At 44.0% G+C, this 24823-nt stretch overlaps 1 protein-coding gene across 2 annotated transcripts, besides 7 other annotated features; it reads left to right on the top strand.

Moving 5' to 3' along the window:
* Positions 1635 to 2411: an enhancer, noted in NCBI's record as "H3K27ac hESC enhancer chr3:44552269-44553045 (GRCh37/hg19 assembly coordinates)". NCBI's record gives its function as "activates a minimal SCP1, AML or CMV promoter by ChIP-STARR-seq in primed H9 embryonic stem cells {active_cell/tissue: H9 hESC(primed)}" and the evidence as "EXISTENCE:reporter gene assay evidence [ECO:0000049][PMID:30033119]".
* Positions 2117 to 2176: an enhancer, noted in NCBI's record as "active region_19764". NCBI's record gives its function as "activates an Ori minimal core promoter by ATAC-STARR-seq in GM12878 lymphoblastoid cells {active_cell/tissue: GM12878}" and the evidence as "EXISTENCE:reporter gene assay evidence [ECO:0000049][PMID:35858748]".
* Positions 2397 to 2446: a silencer, noted in NCBI's record as "silent region_14267". NCBI's record gives its function as "represses an Ori minimal core promoter by ATAC-STARR-seq in GM12878 lymphoblastoid cells {active_cell/tissue: GM12878}" and the evidence as "EXISTENCE:reporter gene assay evidence [ECO:0000049][PMID:35858748]".
* Positions 2397 to 3188: a biological region, named in NCBI's record as "H3K27ac hESC enhancer GRCh37_chr3:44551492-44552268".
* Positions 2412 to 3188: an enhancer, noted in NCBI's record as "H3K27ac hESC enhancer chr3:44551492-44552268 (GRCh37/hg19 assembly coordinates)". NCBI's record gives its function as "activates a minimal SCP1, AML or CMV promoter by ChIP-STARR-seq in primed H9 embryonic stem cells {active_cell/tissue: H9 hESC(primed)}" and the evidence as "EXISTENCE:reporter gene assay evidence [ECO:0000049][PMID:30033119]".
* ZNF852 (zinc finger protein 852) lies at positions 2571 to 21422 on the top strand. 2 transcript variants are annotated; one of them, NM_001423469.1, is made up of 4 exons: positions 2571 to 2635; positions 10132 to 10223; positions 10520 to 10646; positions 12554 to 21422. In NM_001423469.1, the coding sequence occupies exons 2-4, from the start codon at positions 10209 to 10211 to the stop codon at positions 14041 to 14043; spliced, it is 1632 nt and encodes a 543-aa protein (NP_001410398.1). In that variant the 5' UTR covers positions 2571 to 2635; positions 10132 to 10208; the 3' UTR covers positions 14044 to 21422. The 2 variants fall into 2 exon arrangements, with proteins under 2 accessions (NP_001410398.1, NP_001410399.1); NM_001423470.1 differs by having other exon boundaries at positions 12551 to 21422.
* Positions 2577 to 2636: a silencer, noted in NCBI's record as "silent region_14266". NCBI's record gives its function as "represses an Ori minimal core promoter by ATAC-STARR-seq in GM12878 lymphoblastoid cells {active_cell/tissue: GM12878}" and the evidence as "EXISTENCE:reporter gene assay evidence [ECO:0000049][PMID:35858748]".
* Positions 2647 to 2806: a silencer, noted in NCBI's record as "silent region_14265". NCBI's record gives its function as "represses an Ori minimal core promoter by ATAC-STARR-seq in GM12878 lymphoblastoid cells {active_cell/tissue: GM12878}" and the evidence as "EXISTENCE:reporter gene assay evidence [ECO:0000049][PMID:35858748]".
* Positions 21423 to 24823: the final 3401 nt, after the last annotated feature.

Below are 24823 nucleotides of genomic sequence, written 5' to 3'. Positions count from 1 at the left end.
TCCCAGCACTTCGGGAGGCAGAGGCAGGCGGATCACCTGAGGTCAGGAGTTCAACACAAGCCTGGTCAAGATGGTGAAACCCCATCTCTACTAAAAATACAAAAATTAGCCAGGCATGGTGGCACATGCCTGTAATCCCTGCTACTCAGGAGGCTGAGGCAGGAGAATCGCTTGAACCCGGGAGGCGGAGGCTGCAGTGAGCCAAGATCGCGCCACTGCACTACAGCCTGGGTGACAGAGTGAGACTCCATCTCAAAATAAATAAATAAATAAATAATTATAAATAAGGCTGGGCGCTGTGGCTCACACCTGTAATCCTAGCACTTGTGGGAGGCCGAGGTGGGCAGATCACCTGAGGTCAGGAGTTCGAGATCAGCCTGGCAGACATGACAAATCCTGGCTCTACTAAAAATGCAAAAATTAGCTGGGGATGGTGGCCTGTGTCTGTGGTCCCAATTACTGGGTGGCTGAGGCAGGAGAATCACTTGAACCCAGGAGGGGAGGCGGAGGTTGCAGTGAGCCGAGATCACACCACTGCCCTCCAGCCTGGGTGACAGAGGGAGGCTCCGTCTCAAAATAAATAAATAAATAAATGAAGGAATTCCTAATGCTAAATGCCACATAATCAAACTGAAATTTTATAGAAGTATGTGAATCCCCTAACAGACCAGTTTTTCCTGCAAACAGGAGATTCATAGCAACCATTCAGAAAGGGCCCAGTTAACCCCAGTCAGCATAAGGAAGGCCCCCTCTGCTTTAATCCTTAAAAGAAAAGTAACCTGATGTTAATCAATCTATTTTTGCTATTGTTTGGTTCTCTTGTTCCCACCTTTAAAAACCCACTGTTCTGCCACATGCTGTTAGTCTACTTTATAGAAGTTTTTACTATTTTGTACCTGCTTCTCCAACTCATAATGTTACACAGCCTCTCCAGGTTGTAGCCCAAGAAGCAGCCTGCTCTTTCTCGTTCTCTCTCTTTCTTCCTTCTCTCTTTCATTCCTTTTCTCTCTTTCTCACTTCCCTCCCTCCCTTCCTCCCTTCCTTCCTTGGGTCTCGCTCTGTCGCCCAAGCTGGAGTACACTGCCCCAATCATAGCTCACTGCAGCCTCGACCTCCCCGGCCCAAGCGATCCTTCCGCCTCTGCCTCCACAGTAGCTAGGACTACAGGCGTGCACCACCAAGCTCAGCTAATGCTCTTTCTGGTCTGAGTTTTGACCCTCATCCTAACCTGTTGTTCTTTGAGTACACTCTGGGCCTTGATGCGTTGGGTCATTCCTGCTTTCCCAGGTGGTAACCGTTCCTGGGCAGGGATTTTAGTTTTCCTTGGAATCTTGCCCTCCTCACTATCCTGCCCACAACCTTCTACCCCTAGCTTCTGGGATCTCAGCTAGGAGCCATGCTATCCCCAACTCTCCCTCTACAGGGACGTGGGACGGGAGAGCTTTTATGAAGCACAGTAGTGAAAAGACCAAAAGATTTGGATTCAGTGGCTATTCCAGTTACTGACTCTATTTCCTTGGGCAACTCAAATCAATGCATGGCAGCCAGTGTGTTATGAGCTACCGGAAGTATACAGAAAAGTACCAGAAAAAATACAAGCATTATCATCAGTCGCTGTCAATTAAATAACTCTGTTACATTTCAACAGTGTTCGTAACCACTTGACATTGATGTATTTGTGTAATTTCTATTATCTGTTTTTCCCACAAAGCTGTAGCTCCATCCAAAGTGGGCAACTGAGTGTCTTGGTCAGTCATGTGCAGCCTGATGACCCTTGAACAGTTGCAAAAGTGCGCCTAGGGCTTGTAGCATTTACTTAAAAGGGGATAATAAACTCTCACGGCCAGTGCTGGGCTTATTGCCTTGTTTGGGAATTTCTCCATTCAAGGGTTTTATGTTTGGGGATGTGCTGGCCCTATTTTTTTGTTTGTTTGTTTTTTGAGACGGAGTCTGGCTCTGTCTCCCAGGCTGGAGTGCAGTGGCACGATCTCGGCTCACTGCAACCTCCGCCTCCCAGGTTCAAACGATTCTCCTGCCTCAGCCGCCGAAGTAGCTGCGATTACAGGCGCCGCGCCACCACACCCAGCTACTTTTTTTTTATTTTTAGTAGACACGGGGTTTCACCGTGTTAGCCACCGATCTCCTGACCTCGTGATCCGCCCACCTCGGCTTCCCAAAGTTCTGGGATTACAGGCGTGAGCCACCGCGCCAGGCCGCTGGCTCTATTTTCACCGCTAGCTTTGGATCCCTTTCTTCCCTGAAGGAAAAGAGGCCTCCAGGGCAGCCGTGCAGAACCGATGGGAGGGATGTAGGATAATACGCCAAAGCCGATAGAGTTCTGGAGCGCGCCTGGGCATCAGAGCGTGGAAGACAAGTGTCCGCGGAAGGAGGCGAAGGATGCTGGACAAGCCCCGCCGCCCGCCGCCCGCCGCCCGCCGCCCGCCGCCCGCCGCCCGCCGCCAGCGGCCCTGGGCCCAGGGAGAAGCAGAGATGTTGGCCCTCCCAGTTTCCTAGAGAGGCCGCAGAGGGCCCGGGGAGGCGACGCGCGTGCGCAACTGGGGAAGCTGGGAGGTAGGCGCGGGGCGGTCGGCTGCGGTGGCGGCGTTTGGATGATTGTCTCTCGGCGGCGGAGTCGGTGAGCGGCCCGGCGGGGCGCGGGGTGCGGAGCGGGGGCGGCTGTGCGTGCGAGAGTGGCAGGTGAGGCCGGGCCTGGAGGCTGCACCCGGGGCGGGGGTCTGGCCGTGGATCCCGCCCGGCCGCGCCGAGGGCATACCTCTTCGCCCCCCGGGCGTCTGGGGCAGAGAATCTGGAAAATTCCCGGTTTCTTCTGGCTTTATCTTTTCACCCAATTATGCGAATAAAGCGTACTTATTAGAGACAATTAGATAAGTGGAAGAAAAGTGAAAGTAGCCACCGTCCGGAAATCTTAGTCTCCAGGTCTCCTGACATTGAAAACATCTGGCATAGACTTCTCCCTTTTTCTTGTCTTATTTCACTTCCTGGCACCTGTCGCCGTCTAACATAGCATGTATTTGTTTATTGGTTATCTTCCCATAAGCCCCTTGCCAGGGCAGTGCTTTCTGTTTGCTTTATTAACTGCTGTTACCTTAGTGTATGGGAAATAGTAGGTGCTCCTAGAAGGTGTTTGTTAAATTAATGAAAGAAGGAATATCTAAACTGGGAGACAAGAAGAATTGACAGTTTTTAATGTCTTTTTTTTTTTTTTAAATAGCCCATTGCCAAGTTAAGAATGTAAGAGTGACCTTGAGCCTGGAACATTTCCTTGCAGAGTTAGAGCCCTCACAGCCTGTGCTGCTGCATTTAATGCCTTGTGTCTTTCAGTGTTTCAGGCTTCATGTGTACTCCTTTGTTGTGTTTAATCTCTTAAGTCAGTGGCCTTCATTCATTCTCTCAGCCTTCTGTATTTCACACCCCATAGGAGTGGGGAGGGTGGATTGAGATCTTTCTTCCTTACTAAGTGGGGTGTGTGCATCACACCAGCCCTATAGCTGTGGAGTGGATCTGCTGGGTGTGGGGGCTCTTTGCATTGCAGGAGGCTGGATCTTGTTCCCTGTTTCTCCTTTTGCTGTAAGTATACGCTGTACCTCTTGGGGCCTGATGTGGTTGGTATCTGTCCTCAGCGACCTCAAATCATGTGCTATCCCTTCCTTGGATGGCCTTTTAATCTTGGCAGCACAGCCTGGCCACCTGGTGAATAGTGGAACAGTCATGGTGATGCATAAGGATCTAGTATGTTCCTTTTAGGTGCTGTATGGTATTTCATCCTATAAAAATGCTACTTTTATTTAGCCATATTGATGGACAAGTAGGTTAAATCCAGTATTATGTTATTACAGAGAATATTTTAGTAAATACCTGTGTAAATGTCTGAATACCCGTGCAAGTGTTTTTCAGGGCAGATTCTTACAAGTTAAATTCCTGTAGCGTAAGGAATATGTCTTTTTAGTTTTACTGTGGACTTTCAAACTATCCTTCCTGTTGGCTATTACATTTCCACATCTATTAGTGGTTTGTGTTTGGTGTTTTTTTCTTTTGCTTTTCTTTTGGACAGAGATTTTTTTCATATTGATGTATTCAAATATATTCACTCTTTTCATTTTGTTGTCTTAAGAAATTCTTGGTTACACCAGGGTTCTTAGAGTCTTTATGGTTTTTTTCTTTTTTTTTTTTGAGACAGAGTCTCACTCTGTGTCACCCAGGCTGGAGTGCAGTGGCACAATCTTGGATCACTGCAGCCTCTGCCTCCTGGGTTCAAGCAATTCTCTGCCTCAGCCTCCCGAGTATCTGAGATTACAGGCGCCTGCCACCACATCTGGCTTTTTTTTTTTTTAAAGTAGAGATGGGATTTCACCATCTTGGTTAGGTTGGTCTTGAACTCCTGACCTTGTGATCCACCCACCTTGGCCTCCCAAAGAGCTGGGATTACAGGCGTGAGCCACCGCACCCAGCCTTTTAGCTTTGTTTTTTAAGTTTCTTTATTTTTTGTGTGATTTTACTTACTATTTTTATTTGCCTAGCCAATTGTCCCAACACAATTCATTGACTAGTTTAATTTTTCCCACTGACTTGTAATGCTACTGTTACCAACTCTCAAGGGAAGTCGTTTGACTTCAGTGGGTCCTTTACCTGCCTGGTGGTGTTCATGCCAATAAAATGAGACCAAGTTTCGTTAAGCAGTGCAGAAACTTTATTTGTTGATGAAGGAATGGAGAAGGAAAAGCTCATGCTCAAAGTACCCTCCTCTGGGTGTGGTGAAGAGGGATTTTTAAGGTCTCTTAGGGCATGTAGTGGGGCAGAGATCCTGGAAAGAGGTGGGGCCCTATGGGAAGAACTGGAGTGTGCTCAGTCTCATTCTTTTTTCTTTCTTTCTTTCTTTTTTTTTCTTTTGCGATGGAGTTTTGCTCTTGTTGCCCAGGCTGGAGTGCAATGGCTTGATCTTGGCTCACCGCAACCTCCGCCTCCCAGGTTCAAGCAGTTCTCCTGTCTCAGCCCCCCAAATAGCTGGGATTACAGGCATGTACCACATGCCTGGCTAATTTAGTATTTTTAATAGAGACGGGGTTTCTCCATGTTGGTCAGGAGGGTCTTGAACTCCTGACCTCAGGTGATCCACCCGCCTTGGCCTCCCAAAGTGCTGGGATTACAGACGTGAGCCACCGCGCCTGGCCAGTCTCATTGTTTCTTTTGTACCCAGCACTATATGTGCCTAGCAAGTGTATTTCTCCCTTCTAGGTGGAGATTTTAATATGGTAATGAAGCAAGGATTCAGGCCTGGGTAGCACTGCTGAGCTAAGTTCTCCTTTGTGGTTACTGATATTTAGCCTTTTTCTCTCTAAGCAAGCACAGCTGCTGGCACAGGTTAATTTTACAGGTTCTGGGGCTCTTTTTAAAAGAAGGTCTTGCTGCTATAAGTAGACAGAGAGGGCCTCCAGGGATCATAGGAATTTAATCAACTTGAGCAGTCAGCCAGTTTTACAGCCTTCTGCCCTGCAGCCTGTTTCTTCCTAAACCCTGTGTGGATTGCAGTCACCTAGTTAGTTAAAACCAGCCCCAGGCCGGGCGTGGTGGCTCACACCTGTAATCCCAGCACTTTGGGAGGCTGAGGCGGGTGGATCACAAGGTCAGGAGATTGAGACCATCCTTGCTAACACGGTGAAACCCTGTCTCTACTAAAAATACAAAAAAATTAGCCGGGCGTGGTGGCAGGCGCCTGTAGTCTCAGCTACTCAGGAGGCTGAGGCAGGAGAATAGTGTGAACCTGGGAGGCAGAGCTTGCAGTGAGCCGAGATTGCGCCACTGCACTCCAGCCTGGGCGACAGAGTGAGACTCTCTCTCAAAAAAACAAAAACAAAAACAAAAAAAAACCCCAGCTCCTGACAGACCCCAGCAACTTATAGATGAACCTGAGTGAACTTTTCTCATTACCATGCTAAAGTCTCCACCCGGGGAGTAGCTATAGCTTCATTACCATAACACATGACTTATGTGCTGGCATAATGACTCACTGCGTCTGTACCACTGGGACCCCTCCTATACATGGGATGATGTAGCCTCTCGCCTCTCCATTGCTCCATAAAATTCTCCTATTACTTTCCCTTGGAGAGATGCTGCTTTGGAAAATACTCCCAGTGTCCTCCTTACTTACACCAAGTAATAAAACTCCTATTGATCTAAACTTGCATTCTCACAAACAGTCGTTTGTTACTCGCCAGGTGAATGAACCTCATTTTTTTTTTTTAGGTAACACTGTGGTGACACTATCTCTGTCATGCATCAAACTTATAAAATTGGCTGGGCATGGTGGTGCATGCCTGTAATCCCAGCTACTTGGAAGGCTGAGGCTGGAGAATCACTTGAATCCAGGAGACGGAGGTTGCAGTGAGCAGAGATTGCACCACTGCACTCCAGACTGGGCAACACGGCAAGACTCCGTCTCCATAGAAACAAAAAAACAAAACTTACATATGTGTATAAGCCTGTGTCAGGATTCTGTACTTTTCCTTTTATCTACAGTTTGCATATTTATATTTCTTCAGTAATATATGCTGTTTCAAGTACTACAGCTTTATATTAAGCCTTATTGTCTGGTAGAACAAAACTTTCCACATCTAAAAAGTTTTCTTAACTATTATTTTTCTCATTCATTTGAATTTTAGAGTATGCTTATCAAGCTCTATGAAAAATTACATTGTAGTTGGCTGGGATTTTGTTGACTTTGCATGTTAATTTAGAAAAAACTGACATCTTGAAGGAGTGTTTTCCCATACAAAATGTATTTATATCTGTTATGTCTTTAGGCAGAGTTTTCTATTTATCCACTAAGGTCTTGTACATTTTTTATTGGCTTTATTTCTGAGTACTTTATATTTTTGTTGCTATTGTTTTAATTCATTTTCTGATTGGTTGCTATTGTGTTGGAAAGTTATTGAGTATATATTGATTATATATTCAATCTCCTGAATGTCTTATGACGTTCTGTTTTTTTGGTTCATTCTGTTTAATTTTTTAGGTGATGTTTCATATCATTCATGCGTATATTTGCTTTGCATCTTTCTTGTCTATTTTCTGCATTTTTTTTTCTGGTCTAATTACATTGTCTAGGATTACAATGTTTGTTCCTATTTTTAATTGCAAAGGTTTTTATGTCTTTACCATTTAGTGTCACGTCTGTTGGAGATTTCTTTCGTCTATTCTGCATGTCAGTTTAAGGATGTCTCTATTCCTGGATTGTTAAGAGTGTGCACAAAAAGAAGATATAGTTATTTAATTTTAAGAGAATACCAATACTGTAAATAGCTTTATGCCAATAAATATGAAAAGCTGGATGAATACTTGGATTGTTTCTTCCTTTTTACTATTATGTGTAATGCTGCTATGAACATTTGTGTATGAGTTTTTGTATGGACATCTATTTTCTTTTATCTTGGGTGTATATATATATAGGAGTAGAATTGCTAGGTCAATTAGTAAATGTATGTTTAACTTCGTGAGGAACTGTCAGACTGTTTTCATAAGTGTATGCATCAATTTACATTTCCACCAGCAGTGGATAAAGTTTCAATATCTCCACATTCTCACTGATTTTTTATTTATTTTTTTGAGACAGAGTCTTGCTCTGTCCCCCAGGCTGGAATGCAGTGGTGTGATCTTGGCTTACTGTAGCCTCGACCTTCCAGGCCCAGGCCATCTTCCCACATCAGCCTCCTGGGTAGCTGGGACCACAGGTGCATGCCACCAGGCCCAGTTAATTTTTTGTATTTTTTGTAGAGAGAGGATTTTGCCATGTTGCCCAGGCTGGCCTTGAACTCCTGGACTCAAGCAATCCACTCACCTTGGCCTCCCATGATTGCTTGTTATTATCGGATTTTTGTTCTAGCCACCTTACTGGGTGTGAAGTACTATCTTATTGTTCGGTTAATCTGCATTCCCTGATGACTATCCTGTGTACTTATTAGACATTTTAATATTTTCTTTGGAGAAATGTCAATTCAGACCCTTTGGCCATTTTCATTTTTATTTTTGAGATGGAGTCTCATTCTGTCACTCAGGCTGGAGTGTAGTGGCGCAATCTCAGCTCCCTGCAACCTCTGCCTCCTGGGTTCAAATAATTCTACTGCCTCAGCCTCCTGAGTAGCTGGGATTACAGGTGCCTGCCACCATGCCCAGCTAATTTTTGTATTTTTAGTAGAGACGAGGTTTCGCCATGTTGGCCTGGCTGGTCTCAAACTCCTGACCTCAGGTGATCTGCCTGCCTCAGCCTCCCAAAGTGCTGGGATTATAGGCGTGAACCACTGTGCCCTGGCCCTATTTTAAAATTTGTTATTTTTTTCTTTTTATTATTGAGTTGTAATATATAAAGAATATAAATATATATTCTCTCTATATAAAGAATATATATATATTAAAGAATATAAATATATTATTTATATATTCCAGATACAAGTCTTTATCAGATACATGATTTGCCAGTGTTTTCTTCCAGTCTGTGGATGGCTTTTCACTTTCTTCTTCTTTTCTTTTATGCACAAGAGGTTTTCCTTTTGGTAAAGTCCAATTTATTTATTTTTTATTATTTTTTCCTTGTTTTAATATGATTTTGGTGTTTACAAATCCGTTGTCATAAAGGTATAAGTCACAAAGACTTCTACACAGGTTTCTTGTAAGAGTTTTAGAGTTTTAGTTCTTTTTTTTTTTTTTTTTTTTTTTTTTTTTGGACTTAGAGTCTCGCTTTCTTACCCAGGCTGGAGTTCAATGGCGCGATCTCGGCTCACTGCAATCTCTGCCTCCCACATTCAAGCAATTTTCCTGCTTCAGCCTCCCAAGTAGCTGGGATTACAAGAGCCCACCACCATGCCCAGCTAATTTTTTCTATTTTTAATAGAGACGGGGCTTTGCCATGTTGGCCAGGCTGGTCTCAAATTCCTGACCACAGGTGATTCACCCACCTCGGCCTTCCAGAGTGCTGGGATTACAGGCATGAGCCACTGCACCCAGCAAGTTTTAGTTCTTATATGTAGGTCTTTGATTTTTTAGAAGTTATTTTTATAGATGGAGTGAGGTAGAGCACCATCTTCATTATTTTGCAGGTGCATATCCAGTTGTCTCAGCACCATTCATTGAAAAGATCATTCTTTCCACTTTGAATGATCTTGGCACCATTGTAAAATAATGACTAAAGATATATAGTTTATTTCTGGACTCTTAATTCTAATCCATTGAACTGTATGTCTATTCTTATGACAGGAATACAATAAATTGAAGACTGTTGTTCTGTAGGAAGTTTTGAAATTGAGAAGTTTGAGTCCTTCAACTTTATTCCTCTTTTTCAAGAAGAATTGTGACTGTATGGTTCTCTTGAGTTTCCACATAAATTTTAGGATCAACTTTCGACTTCTAAAAAGATGCCCCCTGGGAATCTGATAGGGATTGTGTTGAACCTGTAGATAAGTTTTGGGAGTATCCATGGGACTTGTGTTTGAAGAAAAGAGAGGAATTAAAATGTTTTGGCCAGTGTGTGAATTCATTGACATAACTTGGGAAATCCAGAGAGGAAGGTAGTAAGAACATGCATTTTAGACACTGAACTTGAGGTGTTGCAGGACACCCAAGTGCAATGTCCCATAGGCAACAGGAGGCATGTGGTAGGGGTCTAGGAGAGAAGTAAGAACTGTGAGAGCAGTATTAAAGCAATGAGAGTTGGTCAGATTGCTGACGGAAAAAACAAGGAAGCACTGGGGCCTGAGTTGCAAGGAGTGTCCATAATGAGAGGGCAGGAGCAGACATGAGGAACCACAACTGTGTGGGGAAAATCAGGGCTGGCTGGTGCTAGGGAAGCCATGGGAGAGAGAGTGGCCAGAATAGCTTCCTTGAAAAAGGTTGAAGAGAGTGAGGGCTTGGAGGAACACCCAGTTCTCAGCTTGATCCGGGACCTTGTACTGTACCCTCCAGGGAAAATTCACACCACTCTTGGGATAATGCCTTATGGAAGAGGTTAAGAGTCAGTGTGTGTGGAGGTGCCTGGGTTCTCTTGAATCCACTTATTGGGAATATAGATCTTATGGGAGCCAGAAGCAGGGCTTGTCCCACTCATAGCTTTCTTTCCTCCCTCAGCTCAATGTACTTCTCCAGTTCCTACCCTTCCTCAAGTGGGGAACTCAGGAGACCAAGCAGGGGCAACTGTACTTCGGATGGTCAGGCCCCAGGTGAGCTTGGTTCTTTGTGTTTTTACCAAGTCCCCATGAGTCTGGTCCAAGAATGGCTAGAGGTCTCACCCCCAGGACTCTGCCCCATCTAAGACTATTCCTGTGGCTCTCCTGCCTCATTGCTTCCCCTGGAGGTAATGGACTCTATCTTGCACTGGACTTTCGAGGTGTTATCTCAGCTCCTCTCTCCCATACTTTTGCCCACGAAGAGGCCATACCCTGTGCCCTCTGTACCCTTGATGACTCTGCCCTTCAGGGTGTGAATGTTCCTGAGCAATCGGAGCTTGTCATTCCAGGATACTGTGGCGTATGAGGACCTGTCTGAGGACTATACTCAGAAGAAATGGAAAGGTCTCGCACTCAGTCAGAGAGCCCTGCACTGGAACATGATGCTGGAAAATGACCGTAGCATGGCTTCTTTGGGTAATGATTCTGTTTCCTAGTCACTTAGAGTCTGCATGCTGCCATTCTCTTTTTTATATTCCTTTTCTTTTTAAACTTTTTACTACGAAAATTTCCAAACGGAGATAAGCTAGAGTGAATAAGAGTCAGTGTGTATGGAGCTGCCTGGGTCCTCTTGAATAGGACCTTCTCTGCATTCAGCTTGAACAATGATCAGCATTCTCTTCACCTCATTATTGATTGACATAAGGTGGTTTAGGTAGAGTTTTTTTAGTTGTAAGGAATAGAGAGCCACTCAAGTTATTGTAAGTAAGGAGCTGTGAGTCATAGGCTTAAAGGAATGAGAACCCAGAAGAAACTGATCGCTAGACCAGACTGTGGGAAGTAGGGCCTTGACTCAGGGCAGCCTGGGAGCCTGAACAGCAAAAGCAAATGCATGTTGATGCCTGTGTTCTGGTGTGAATGTAATGCAGCTGCTCGCAGTGTATCTGTTTTCTCTCTGCTTGTACTCCTCCTGCTGCCCATTTTCTTCACTGTGAATCTTTTGTCCTTTTCGTAGCTCTTTCCTAATTGTACTTCCTGTTCCCTTATATTTGTTGCTTGCTGTGTCTCCTAATGGCTTGGCTTCTCTCCATGTATCACTTCAGATTCCATTACCACTCGTAATTTTGCCCTACTTCCAGTTCCGAATTTCCTTAGAGACAGATTCCCATTGCTATAGCCATTACTCATCATCTCGGTTGGGCAGAGCTTTGGCCCAGGCCATGGCAGAGGCTGAAGACTAACCTACAGATAAGCTGCCCTTGGGTCTGGTACCTGGTACTGGTCCAATCACTTGCAGTCCATCATGGGATGATGTTCAGGATCACTTGCCACAGAGCATGGTTGCCTAAGTGTTGCTCTCTGCAAAGACTGGGGCAGTGCAGTTTCCTGGAAGGGCTTCTTGGCAGTGCAGGTGCTATGATTGATGCATATAGGGCAGTAGCCAACTCTGGAAAGGGTGGGCTTAGGAATCTTTCACCCAGACATCTTAAACTTTCCATAGGCTAACTGACATGATGGCTGTAGCCCCAATTCAGATGTGATTGAAAGGAACCCACATTTTGGTGTTTTTCCATGGCCATGATTACTCTGCCTTCTCCCAGATTTTGTATTCAGAATTCCAAAAGGCAAATATTTACCTGATCATTTCCTTTATATTCTAGATAATCAAAGGCATTTTAATTTATATTTCAAATGATTGATGTCCCTGTTATCTTTTCTGGGAGTGCACAACTGGCTCCTACCGGGCCAGTGCTCTGAGGGCCAGTGGCATCCCCACTTTTAGAACTCTGCTGTCTCCTTCAATACTGCTGTCCAGCTTTTCTCAACTGATAGCTTCTCCAAATCTTGTTACTGTCCTGTCATACAACATCTCTCCTTTTTGTACGCTTTCCTAATCATACACTCATAGTAGAAATTTCTCAACTCATTCCCATCTTTTCCTTGTCTCTTTCTTATATTTGACTTGAGGTATTTGCCAGCCTTCCCTCTCCCAACATCTTTTCTGAGAACCATGGAACCATATAATGTCATGGTTGGAAGGGAACTCAAAGTTTACCATTTTGCTAAAGAGACATAGTGTGAGAGTGACTTATATAAGATCACAGCATGCTTTGCAATCCAGTCTCTTGCTTTCCAGTGACCCTTCTGACTTGGCTGTGCTGGCTCAATATCTTTTTTCCACCCTCCTCCACTGACCGTCTTCTTCTTCCTTGTTTTTCTATCCCTAAGATACAATTGAGCATTTTGCTCTTGTTCTCAATGTGTCATCTCATTTCTTAACCATAATGTGACTTTTTTTCAGGTACATTAGCTCTTTATGATTCTGTTTCTTCAACAGGAAAAGAAATGAGTAAAAGTTGTTGTCTTATTTTTTTTGGCAGCAGGTAGGAACATGATGGAGAGTTCAGAGCTGACTCCGAAGCAGGAAATTTTTAAAGGATCAGAGTCATCTAATAGCACATCAGGGGGACTCTTTGGGGTGGTTCCTGGGGGAACAGAGACTGGAGATGTTTGTGAAGATACCTTCAAAGAGTTAGAAGGACAACCCTCAAATGAAGAAGGGAGCAGACTAGAAAGTGATTTCTTGGAAATAATAGATGAGGATAAGAAAAAATCCACAAAAGACAGATATGAGGAATATAAGGAAGTTGAGGAACATCCACCTCTGTCTTCCAGTCCTGTTGAACATGAAGGAGTTTTAAAGGGACAGAAATCCTATCGATGTGATGAATGTGGCAAAGCTTTTTATTGGAGTTCGCACCTCATTGGTCATCGGAGAATCCACACTGGAGAGAAACCCTATGAGTGTAATGAGTGTGGGAAGACCTTCAGGCAAACCTCCCAGCTCATTGTTCATCTCAGAACCCACACAGGGGAAAAGCCCTATGAATGCAGTGAGTGTGGAAAGGCCTATAGGCACAGCTCCCATCTCATTCAACACCAGAGACTCCATAATGGGGAGAAACCCTATAAATGTAATGAATGTGCAAAAGCTTTTAATCAGAGCTCCAAACTCTTCGACCACCAGAGAACCCATACTGGGGAGAAACCTTATGAATGTAAGGAGTGTGGGGCGGCCTTTAGTCGGAGTAAAAATCTTGTTCGACATCAGTTTCTGCACACTGGTAAGAAACCTTATAAGTGTAATGAATGTGGGAGAGCATTCTGTTCCAATAGAAATCTCATTGACCATCAGAGAACCCACACTGGGGAGAAGCCTTATAAATGTAATGAATGTGGCAAAGCCTTCAGTCGGAGTAAATGTCTTATTCGACATCAGAGCCTCCACACTGGGGAAAAGCCATACAAATGTAGTGAATGTGGGAAAGCCTTCAATCAGATCTCTCAACTTGTTGAACATGAGCGAATTCATACTGGAGAAAAACCATTTAAGTGTAGTGAGTGTGGTAAGGCATTCGGTCTGAGTAAATGTCTTATTCGGCACCAGAGGCTTCACACAAGTGAAAAGCCCTATAAATGCAATGAGTGTGGAAAATCCTTCAATCAAAACTCATACCTCATTATACACCAGAGAATTCACACTGGTGAGAAACCCTATGAATGTAATGAGTGTGGGAAGGTCTTCAGTTATAATTCTAGTCTTATGGTACATCAGAGAACCCATACTGGGGAAAAACCCTATAAATGCAATAGTTGTGGGAAAGCCTTTAGTGACAGCTCACAGCTTACTGTGCACCAGAGAGTCCACACTGGAGAGAAAAACCTTATGAATGTATTGAGTGTGGGAAAGCCTTTAGTCAGCGTTCCACTTTTAATCACCACCAGCGAACTCATGCTGGAGAGAAGCCCTCAGGTCTGGCTCGGTCATCTTCTTAAGGCATGGTTTTCTGAGACAGACAGCAAAGACCTTTGAGTTAAGCTGTCTTTATAAGAAGGATGTTCATCATGGTCTCCTTGGAGACCACTAATCACAGTGGAGACCATACCTACTTGCTTTTCCTTGGGTCACTAAGGTGGGAGAGTAGGTGCAACTTAGTCTGATCCTTACTTAGTAGGAAATTGGGGATTACATCTGTCATTAACTTGTAGGTTCCCTTCTTTCTCTTAAAAAACTATTTAAAACTCTATCTTGTTAGTATGCATTCCATAATCAGATTCTGCATTTCTCAAGAACAGCAGTTATATTACCTTTATTCTATTGCAGTTCCTCCACTGAACCATTTACGTGAAGTCACTTTTTAAGTCATTCTGCAAGATTATTCTTCCCTGCTCCTTGGCTATCTCCTTCCACAGCTACTTTAAAAATTTGTACTGTAAGCTACATCCTCTCATCATTTTTGTGTTTTCTAGCTAGAAAACTTTTTCTTCCTGTTTGCTAATCACTTCCTTCACAATGTTCAAGATTTATGCCATTTCTGAAAGACTTTCTTCTTCAAATAGTTTTTCGTTTCTTTTATACCTCTATTGATTTGGCCTTAATGCTTTAAATTAGCTGGTGCTACGATGTGTAACTGTTAAATGTTTTTGTAAATTGTTCTTAACTTACAAGGTGATATGTGTATCACATATGTACAAAGTATACACATATATAGTTGTGTATGTGTATACTTTCTTTTTTTTTTTTTTTTTTTTTGAGACAGAGTCTCAGTCTCCCTCTTGTTGCCCAGGCTAGAGTGCAATGGTGCAATCTTGGCTCACCACAACCTCTGCTTCTCGGGTTCAAGCGATTCTCCTGCCTCAGCCTCCCGAGTAGCTGGGATTACAGGCATGTGCCACCATGCCTGGCTAATTTTTTTTTTTGTATTTTTAGTAGAGATGGGGTTTCTCTATGTTGGTCAGGCTGGTCTTGAACTCCCAATCTCAGGTGATCCGCCCGCCTCAGCCTCCCAAAGTGCTGGGATTACAGGTGTGAGCCACTGCACCCAGCCTCAAATGTGTATACTTTCATACCAGCTTGTAAGCTTCTGAGATCAGGTATGGTATCTATTTCTTTATATGCATAATAGTTTGAATATGCTAGTTCTTAAGTTTTAAAATTCAAATTGAGCCATCATAAACGTGGGCACAGGCTCCCGTCTCCCTCCCATTACACTGGACTAGAAGCTTCTAAAGAAGGAAGTGGCATCGTAATATATCACATATAAAGGCTCACTGATATCTTCTACTTGTAGCCCTGGAAGTCTTACTACTGGTACTTCAGCCTTGAAGAGCTAATGGATTTGTGTGTGAATGAGTGTCTGTTTATCTAGGTATTGGGTTGGGCAGTCATATCCTACTGATAACATGCTTTGAGCTGCACACTTACTCCATTTCTGAACTATTTGACTGCATCCTGCTTCCTAAATAAAAGTTATAGTCGGCCAGGCTCAGTGGCTCACGCCTGTAATCCCAGCACTTTGGGAGGCCGAGGTGGGCAGATCACTTGATGTCAGGAGTTCGAGACCAGCCTGGCCAACATGGTGAAACCCCATCTCTACTAAAATACAAAAATTAGCCGAGTATGGTGGTGTGCACCTGTAATCCCAGCTACTTGGGAGGCTGAGGCAGGAGAATTGCTTGCACCTGGGCAGAGGTTGTAATGAGCTGAGATTGTGCCACTGCACCCCAGCCTGGGTGACAGAGTGAGACTACATCTCAAAAACAACAAACAAAAAAAACCTTACAGTCAAAATTTACTGCAAGAAGACTTGACTTTCATGGCTGTAATATAGATGATTGAAAATTTCAGCTAGCAGCATTCCTGGATGATTGGAATTCAGAGTGATGAGGTTTTTGGTAAAATAGTAGTATCAAACTAATCTGTTTTCCTTATCAGCTAGTCCTTTCTCACTACAACTGCTGTCTTAATTTCAAGATGAGAACTGTGCCTTAATTATCTTCCAGACCACCTTTCCTTCTGCAGTCATATGTCAGTCCATGAGCTTGAACCACCTTTCCTTCCACCCTTGCAATAATGGCCCAGTGCCGGTGGACCTTTTACTCTAATGTTCACCCTGTTCTCTTTCCATCCCCAGACTTTTTTTTTTTTTTTTTGAGACGGAGTCTTGCTCTGTCGCCCAGGCTGGAGTGCAGTGGTACGATCTCAGCTCACTGCAAGCTCTGCCTCCCAGGTTCATGCCATTCTCCTGCCTCAGCCTCCCGAGTAGCTGGGAGTACAGGCGCCCGCCACCAGGCCCGGCTAATTTTTTTTGTATTTTTAGTAGAGATGGGGTTTCACCGTGTTAGCCAGGATGGTCTCGATCTCCTGACCTCGTGATCTGCCTGCCTCGGCCTCCCAAAGTGCTGGGATTACAGGCATGAGCCACCACGCCTGGCCTCCATCCCCCAGATTTCTTAACAGGCTGACAGGATCCGCAGTATGACAAAGGTGGAGGAGGAGGCTAGAGGGGCAATGTCAGTCATGTAACCTGGAGGGGTGATTTTGTGCACTGTGGTGTATGTTTCAGACAATGCAGGAGAAAGGAAAGAGAGTTGAGGATCAAGAAAATTAGAATTAAATGTGATTGTTGGGGAGATGTCTCAGACAAAGTTAGAAAGGATTACTGGGGGCCTAAAGTTTTTCAGGGCCTTTTGAAATTTCTAAACTTGTCTGGGCACAGTGGCTCATGCCTGTAATCCCAGCACTTTGGGAGGCTGAGGCGGTCAGATCACCTGAGTCCAGGAGTTTGAGACCAGCCTGGCCAACATTGTAAAACCCCGTTTCTACTAAAAATACAAAAATTAGCTGGGTGTGGTGGTGCACGCCTGTAATCCCAGCTATTCAGGAGTCTGAGGCAAGAGAATCACTTGAACCTGGAGGGCAGAGATTGCAGTGAGCCAAGATCACACCACTGTACTGCAGCCTGGGCAACAGAGCGAGACTCTGTCTCAATAACAACAACAAAACAACAAACCGGAGCTCATGACACGGCTGGAATTTTACCATTTGTGAATATGTATTTTAAATGTTTTCAGCTTGTTTTTTTGTATTTTTTTCCATTTTCTTTTAAAAGATATGCAGATAGGACTTTTTCCTCTTTAACTGTCTTATTTTGGGAGCCCCCAGATTTCAGGGAAGAGCCCCACACTATATGAGCACATGAGTTGGACATTTCTGGTTCCCCGCCCTGAGTTGGACATTGCCAGTCATGTCTGCAGAAGAACCATCCTGCCTGTTGGAAGCTGCAGTTTTACCTTCTGGTTCTTGCCTGCTCATCCCCTACCATACTAAGCCTCCAGAGTGTGGGAATGTGCACCATTTCCTAACTATATTAACTCACTGCCACCAGTCTGGTGTGGGTGCTCAGTACAAGTGAATCCTGAAAAAGCCTCAGGCTCTTGGATGGAGGAAAACTGGCTGCATTTGAAAGCCATACTTCAATTTCTATTGGTCACTGCTAGTATAAACTTTAATTATTGATTTAAACAAATTTTATCTGGATCCAATTATGTTGATAAATTATTTTTAGGTTTAATAATTTGTTAGATTCATTTCCTAGCTTTTCTAGGTTTAGAATAAATAATGATTTATTTGTCTTTTGATGTCACTTATGTTGTGCATTAGCAAGAACTTCAGAAAACATGGAACAGTAGATGTCTTTCTCTTAACGCTTGGGGGAATGTTTTTAGTATTCTGCAGTTTCATATCGTGTTCATTGTTGGATTCTGATGTTCTGTTAGATTTAGGAAGTTTCCTTCTAATCTTATTTCTAGAAGAAGCAGTGTAGTTTAGTGGTTAAGAGCACAGATTTTGTTCCCAGTGCCCTAGGTTCAAATCCTGAGTCCACCACTTTGTTAGGTGTGTGATCCTGGGCAAATCACTTACCTTCCTTGTATCTTATTCCTCCATCTATAAAATGGAGCTACCTCATAGGGTTGTGAAGAATACATTATTGTAACAATACTGGGCACACAGTGCACAGTTTCCCAATTATTATTATACTTACAGTTTTGTTTTCTGTTTTTTTTTTTGACAAGGTCTCCCTCTGTTGCTCAGGCTGGAGTGTAGTGATGTGACCATAGGTCACCTCAGCCTTGAACTCCTGGGCTCAAGAGATGCTCCTGCCTCAACCTCCCCTATAGTTAGGAATACAGGCATGTGCCACCATGCCCGACTAAGTTTTTATTTTTATTTTTTGTAAACATGGGGTTTCACTATTTTGCTCAGGCTGGTCTTGCGGTCCTGGCCTCAAGCGATCATCCTGCCTCAGCTTCTCTAAGTGCTGGGAATACAGGTGTGAGCCACCATGCCTGGCCTATACTTAAAAAGTTTTTATTAGGATTGGTTGCTATATTATATCAAGTTTAAAAACTCCATCATTGTAATTTTATGAGTTATGGTTTTTTCTTTTTGTAATTCATTTTCTTGACAAGTTTGCAAATATTTGCAATTTCCTTGTACTTTTCAAGTAAAATCTATTTGTTCATAGTGAATTTTTATTAAGTACAGAAGTAGATTCAATTTGGTAATGCTTTGCTAGCTTTGCAAAAGAATTTGGAAAAAATTTTGTTTATCTTATTGCTATGGAGAGTTTGTATAACATGGGAATTGTTCCTTGAAGGCTTGCTAAAAGTAACTGGGCCTGGTTCTTTGGGTGAGGGGATTGGGAGGGATATATCTTTAGCAACTGTTTTAGTCAGTTTGAGCTATTATAACAAAATACCATAGAGGATGGCTTAAACAACAGACATTTATTTCTCACAGTTCTGTAGTCTTCATAATTCAACATCAAGATGCCAGAATGGTTGAGTGCTGGTGAGGGCTCTCTTCCTGGTTTGCAGATGGCCCCCTTTTTCCTGTGTCCTCAAATTTCAGAGAGCAAGAGCACTGGTGCCTCTTCCAAGTCTTTTAAGGGCGTTAGTGAGAGTGACAGCCCCATTCTCATGACCTACTCCAATCCTAGTTATTTTCCAAAGGCCCCCCACCCCCAAATATAACATTTGGGGTTAGGGCTTCAACATAAATATTCATTCTATAACATTCCACTCCTAGCCACTCTATTCATATCCTTACATACAAAATAAGTTCATTCCATCCTAACAGCCTCCAAAGTTTTAACTCATTCTAGTATCAACTAACATTTAAAGTCCAAAGTCTCATCTAAATATCTAAATATCTAAATAAAGGCCGGGCATGGTGGCTCACGCCTGTAATCCCAGCACTTTGGGAGGCCGAGGCGGGTGGATCACTACGTCAGGAGTTCGAGACCAGCCTGACCAACATGGTGAAACCCCATCTCTACTAAAAATACAAAAATTAGCTGGGCGTGATGGTGTGCACCTGTAATCCCAGCTACACGGGGAGGCTGAGGCAGGAGAATCGCTTGAACCCGAGAGACAGAGGTTGCAGTGAGCCGAGATCGCACCATTGCACTCCAGCCTGGGCGACAGTGAGACTTTGTCTCAAAAATATCTAAATCAGATATGGGTGAGACCCAAGGTTTAGCTTATCCTGAGGCAAAATTCCCCTCCAGCTGTGAACCTATGAAACCAGACAAGTTATGTGCTTCCAAAATACAGTGATGGGATAGGCAGGATTAGGTATTCCAATTCCAAAAGTGAGAAATTGGAAGGAAGAAAGGGATGATGAGGCTGGGTGTGATAGCTCATGCCTTTAATCCTAGCACTTTGGGAGGCTGAGGTGGGAGGATTGCTTGAGTCCAGGAGTTCGAGACCAGCCTGGGCAACATAGGGAGACCTTATTTCTACAAAAATAATAAAAATAATTAGTTGGGCATGGTGGCTTGAGCATGGGAGTTCGAGGCTACAGTGAGTTGTGATCGTACTGCACTCCAGCCTGGATGACAGAGTGAAACCCTATCAATAAAAAATAAAAAAGGATGGGGGAGCAGGGGGATGATGGTCCTATGCAAGTCTAAAACTTAGCAAGGCACGTTTCATGAGATCTTAGGCTCATGAATAATCCTCTTTGGTCCTATACTGTCCTCTCCAGGACCCCCTGGGCGGTGGTCCTGACCCGATAGATCTGCCAGGCAGGGGTGACTCCCCCGTGGCTTTTGTTGGAGACCATCTGGCCTGTGGAAACTGGGGCAGTATCCCTCATGATCTCTAAATAGCCAAGAGAAGAGTCATTCTTGTATGGAACAATGGACATTCACAGCCTTCCTCATTCCTGGCTTTAGGACTTCAGATACAATCATGTCAGAGCTCAGGGCTTCAACATATGAATTTTGGGGGCACAGTTCAGTCCATAGCAATACTTCCATTCCCCTGACCTGCAACATGTCCAGTTACTTCGAAAAGTACTTGTCATCCACTATATTAATAACATGCTCATTGCCAGCCTATGAAACAAGTTGACCACTCCATACATAAGGTCATAGATAATATGACACATGCAGGTTGAGTTGTCAGCCCTGATAAGATCCCAAGACTTGCCCAACAAGTGCAGTCCCTGGAGCTACCTGGTCCAGTAATTAGAGGAGTATTCCTGATAAAGTCAAATATTGTCCTTGGCAGCCCCCACCTAAAAGAAGCTCAATAGCTGGTATGCCTGTTTGTCTATTGGAGATAACATGTATCACATCTGAGTATTATTTTGCCTCCTTTAGTTAAAATTACCCACAACACAGCCACCTCTGAATGGGGCCCTCAACAACAGCAGACTCGAGAGGCCTACTATGCATTAACATGGGCCTGACATTAATGTAGGCCCATGGAACTACAGGTCTCATTGACTCTTACCCATACAGATTGGATACTGCGGCAACAAGAGACTGCTATCAGGATGCACCAGGCCCTTAGGTTTTGGACATATAAATTACCCAAGATGGTTGCCATATACATTCCCTTTGAATGGCAGCTACTAGCCTGCTATTGGACTCTAATTTAAACAGAACACTTGACCACTGAAGCACTGTATGTGACCTTAAGACCTGAGCTGCCCATCTCATGCAGGTATTATTAACGAAAAATAAAAATGGAAGCCCCAGTTTAGAAATACCCTAAGGCTGACTACCCGCAACCGTGTAACCAAAACTAATCATTCTGATTTTCCTGAAATGCTGTCTCTGATCATAAATGAAATGCAAAATGTAAGCTTTACATCCTTGCCAGCATGATTCACTGAAATTAAACCAATCAGCTATAGACCAACAAGCTTAAACAGCTCAACTTGCCCTAAAAAGAATGTATAACAGCCAATTATAAAAAAGGTCAAAATATTCCCCCCCTTTATGCATTATAAACTGTGTTGTAACTGCTGTAAGATTAATTTCTTACCACTTGATTTGAGTCTTCTAGATTGTGGTCTGTACTTCTTGTTTGAACAATAAACTTTTAAATTTTTCTTTATCTGATTTTATTTTTTTCACAGTGCTCACTAATCCTAATAAAACACGACAGGTTCAGCCAAGTACCATCATTAAATGGAAATGTTACATATAAGATGGAGCCTGATTGGGATCCCAGGGGGTCTGCCAACTCCATGAAGTAACTGTCTTGCCAGAGGACGCCGAACAGCCCATAGGGGATGTTCCCTTAGCTAGGTGCAGCCCATGGTTCAAAGATGTTCCAGCTGATGGTATGAGTTGGCTCACTGAGGGAGCTGTGAAACTCAAAGCTGATAAACTCTAATGGTCTGCTGTAGCCGTCCATCTTGCTGTGGATTGAATGGTTTTGTCGCCTCCAAAATGTTAAAACTTAATCCCCAGCTGGGTGCAGTGCTGCATGCTTGTAGTCCCAGCCACTCAGGAGGCTGAGGTGGGAGAATTGCTTGAGCTCAGGAGTTCAAGACCAGCTTGGGAAACATAACAAGACCTTGTGTCTAAAAAACAAAAAATCCCCAATACAACAGTGTTGGGAGATGGGGCCTAAGGGAGGTGTTTAGGTCATGAAGGCTTACCCTCAGGAATGGATTAATGTCCCTATAAAAAGGGCTTATGAGAGTGGGTTTGCTTTCCTCTGCTGTTGTGCCATGTGAGGAACAGTGTGCTCTTTCCCCCTGGAGAGTGCAATGTTTAAGGCACCATTGTGGAAATGGAGACTTTGATTTTGGACTTCCCACCTCCAGAACTGTGAGAAATTAAATTTCTATTTATAAAATTACCCAGTCTCAGGCATTCTGCTATAGCAGCACAAGTAGACTAAGACACATCCTAAGGATAGTCATCTTTTGACTGAGACCAGACAAGGATACTCTGCCCAGTACTCTGGGTGAACTCTGTGCTGTGGTGATGGCTGTTCAGGAAAATATAACAGCAATTATCTGCTACACATTTACAGACTTATGGGCCATTACAAATGGACTAGCCATATGTCCAGTGACTGGCAGATTAATGATTGGACCATTAAGGGCTCCTCTATGTAGAGACAAGGACTATGACAGCAGTTTGTGAACTAGGAAAGAGACCTACTTGTCACGGCATAGGACCATTCAAAAGAGAACATGAACTCACAAGCTGATCTAGTATGTGCTCAGAAAATGGCCAAAATTATCCATGGGATCTACCACAGAATGGGACATGGAAGTCCACCTCAGATGCAAGAACGGGCCACATCACGAGGACTTGCCCTAAAAGAGATGGAAGCCAAAGATCCAGTACAGTAATGTGAGGCCTGCCTTTAGCCCAGGCCGTACAATGTGGTGAACTGGGACACATCATCTGGACAGAGGGCCCATGCCAGTGTGATATTGACCACATTGGACAGCTAGCTCCCAGACGTGGATTCTGGTGAAGCCTCACTGCCATGGGTACACGTTCTGGAGATGAGACCACCATTCCAGTATGCCATGTAGATGTGGAAACCACTATTATGGCTTTAGAGAAACACCTCTGTTGTATTCTGATATCTAGCAGGATTCCAAGCCAATCAAGGCCACCACATTTGCTGCCGCACAAGCTACACAGTAATGGGCATTTTCCCATGACATATGATGGGACCTTTTGTACTCCCTAACATTACCTGGTGAATGGGTTGATAGAATGATGGAATGGTAGAACTTGAAAAAAAAATTAGGAAGAAAAAAAGATGATGGAATGGGTGGCTCAAACAACAACTATGCAAAAGCCATTAGGGAGAACAACTTAGTGGGTGGTACCCCTACCTCACAAAAGCCATCTGAACACTAGACACTGCAGTGGAAGAGAAACACATCACTGCAATGCATGTTGGGAAATACTGAACTTGCAACAGGTGGAGGACCAGGCAATCCCTTGATTAGGCTGAGCCTATGAAATCCCAATTTGAGTATACCCAGCCATTCTTTTTTTTTTTTTTTTTTGACAGAGTCTCACTCTGTCACCCAGGCTGGAGTGCAGTGGCACGATCTCGGCTCACTGCAAACTCCACCTCCTGGGTTCAAGCAATTCTCCTGCCTCAGCTTCTGGAGTAGCTGGGATTACAGGTGCATCCCACCATGCCTGACTAATTTTTGTATTTTTAGTAGAGACGGGGTTTTGCCATGTTGGCCAGGCTGGTCTCGAACTCCTGACCTCAGGTGATTTGCCCACCTCAGCCTCCCAAAGTGCTGAGATTACAGGCGTGAGCCACCACGTCCAGCTCCCAGGCATTCTTTTTCTTCTTTCTTCCTGCTGGAAATCACTACCCACTAGAGCCACCAGTGAGCCTCCTGATTTAAATCTGGAGGCAATGGTACCTTTGGGCATTTCTTTCTTGTGGGACCCCATGGGGACAGGGAAAGCATTGACAGAATATTGAGGAACTAATGTTCCTCCAGTTGTAACCAGGACTTCTGATCCCAAAGTGGGCAATATTATAAGATATGCCAAATTTCTTCAGAATGTGATCTCTCTCCCCAGGTTGGATGACCAAGGCTGAAAGTTTAGGTCAAGTAACAGGCGTGATGGATCCCTGCATAAGTTACAGCCTCAGAAATCAGAATACTCTCCCCACGCCACTGGACAAGAGCATCTGGCTGGGGAGTTTCATGGGGTGGGGCATGTGGGATCATCAATTTTTACCTTGCTCAGTCTCACAGAAGACTCTGCCATGCCCGGCATGACAACATCTGGATAAGAAGCAGTACAGCTGTGGTGAGAAGGAAGCAAGCAAACAATGCTGGAGTTGTTACTGAAGTCTCTCCTATCCTATAATTCCATTGTAATGGCCTGGCTGTTACCCAGTGTCTCGGACTTTCCTCAAGCTATCACGCCTGGCCCAGTTCACATTCTAAGCTATCGGTGGCTCAAACTGCTGAGTGACTCCCTTGAAACAAGTCCGCATGCAGGCGTACGCTAGAGTATCCTGCTTTAATATTATGATATGACAAAAGGACTCCCATGTTGGCGTGGGCATCACTGACTTATATTGGCACTTCAGATGTGGATGTACCACATGTAGTTTTTCTCACCCTGCAACTATGGGGCAAAAACAGGCTGAGACTGTATATAAATGGACTGACCAGGACTATAATAACAAATGCCTGACAGGTGTCACTTGTGCCCTTCTAGGTTATGAATTCTTCTGTGGGCCTCAATGTCTATCTCCAGAAGGATCTTGTTGCCTTGGAATCCTAGGGCCCACTGTCCATGTCAACAACTGTACAGAGAGCTAGAAGGGACCTGCTCTGCTAACCTGCCACAGAATGACTTGTAGCACTCTCCCAGGAGAACAAACCAACAGCTGGTTTAATTCTGCAGTTCACATTCTTTTTTTTTTTTTGAAATGGAGTTTCACTTTTGTTGCCCGGGCTGGAGTGCAATGGCGTGATCTTGGCTCACCGCAACTTCCAC

Source organism: Homo sapiens, chromosome 3, assembly GCF_000001405.40.
Source record: "Homo sapiens chromosome 3, GRCh38.p14 Primary Assembly".
NCBI lineage: Eukaryota > Metazoa > Chordata > Mammalia > Primates > Hominidae > Homo > Homo sapiens.
The sequence above is the reverse complement of the archived record's forward strand: the minus strand, read 5'-3'. Positions and strand labels throughout refer to the sequence as shown.

Excerpts from the sequence above, each read along its gene's own strand:
- ZNF852 (NM_001423470.1), top strand. Across the intron at positions 10,647-12,550 it reads CCGTAGCATGGCTTCTTTGG|CAGGTAGGAACATGATGGAG; the intron begins GTAATGATTCTG and ends TTTTTTTGGCAG.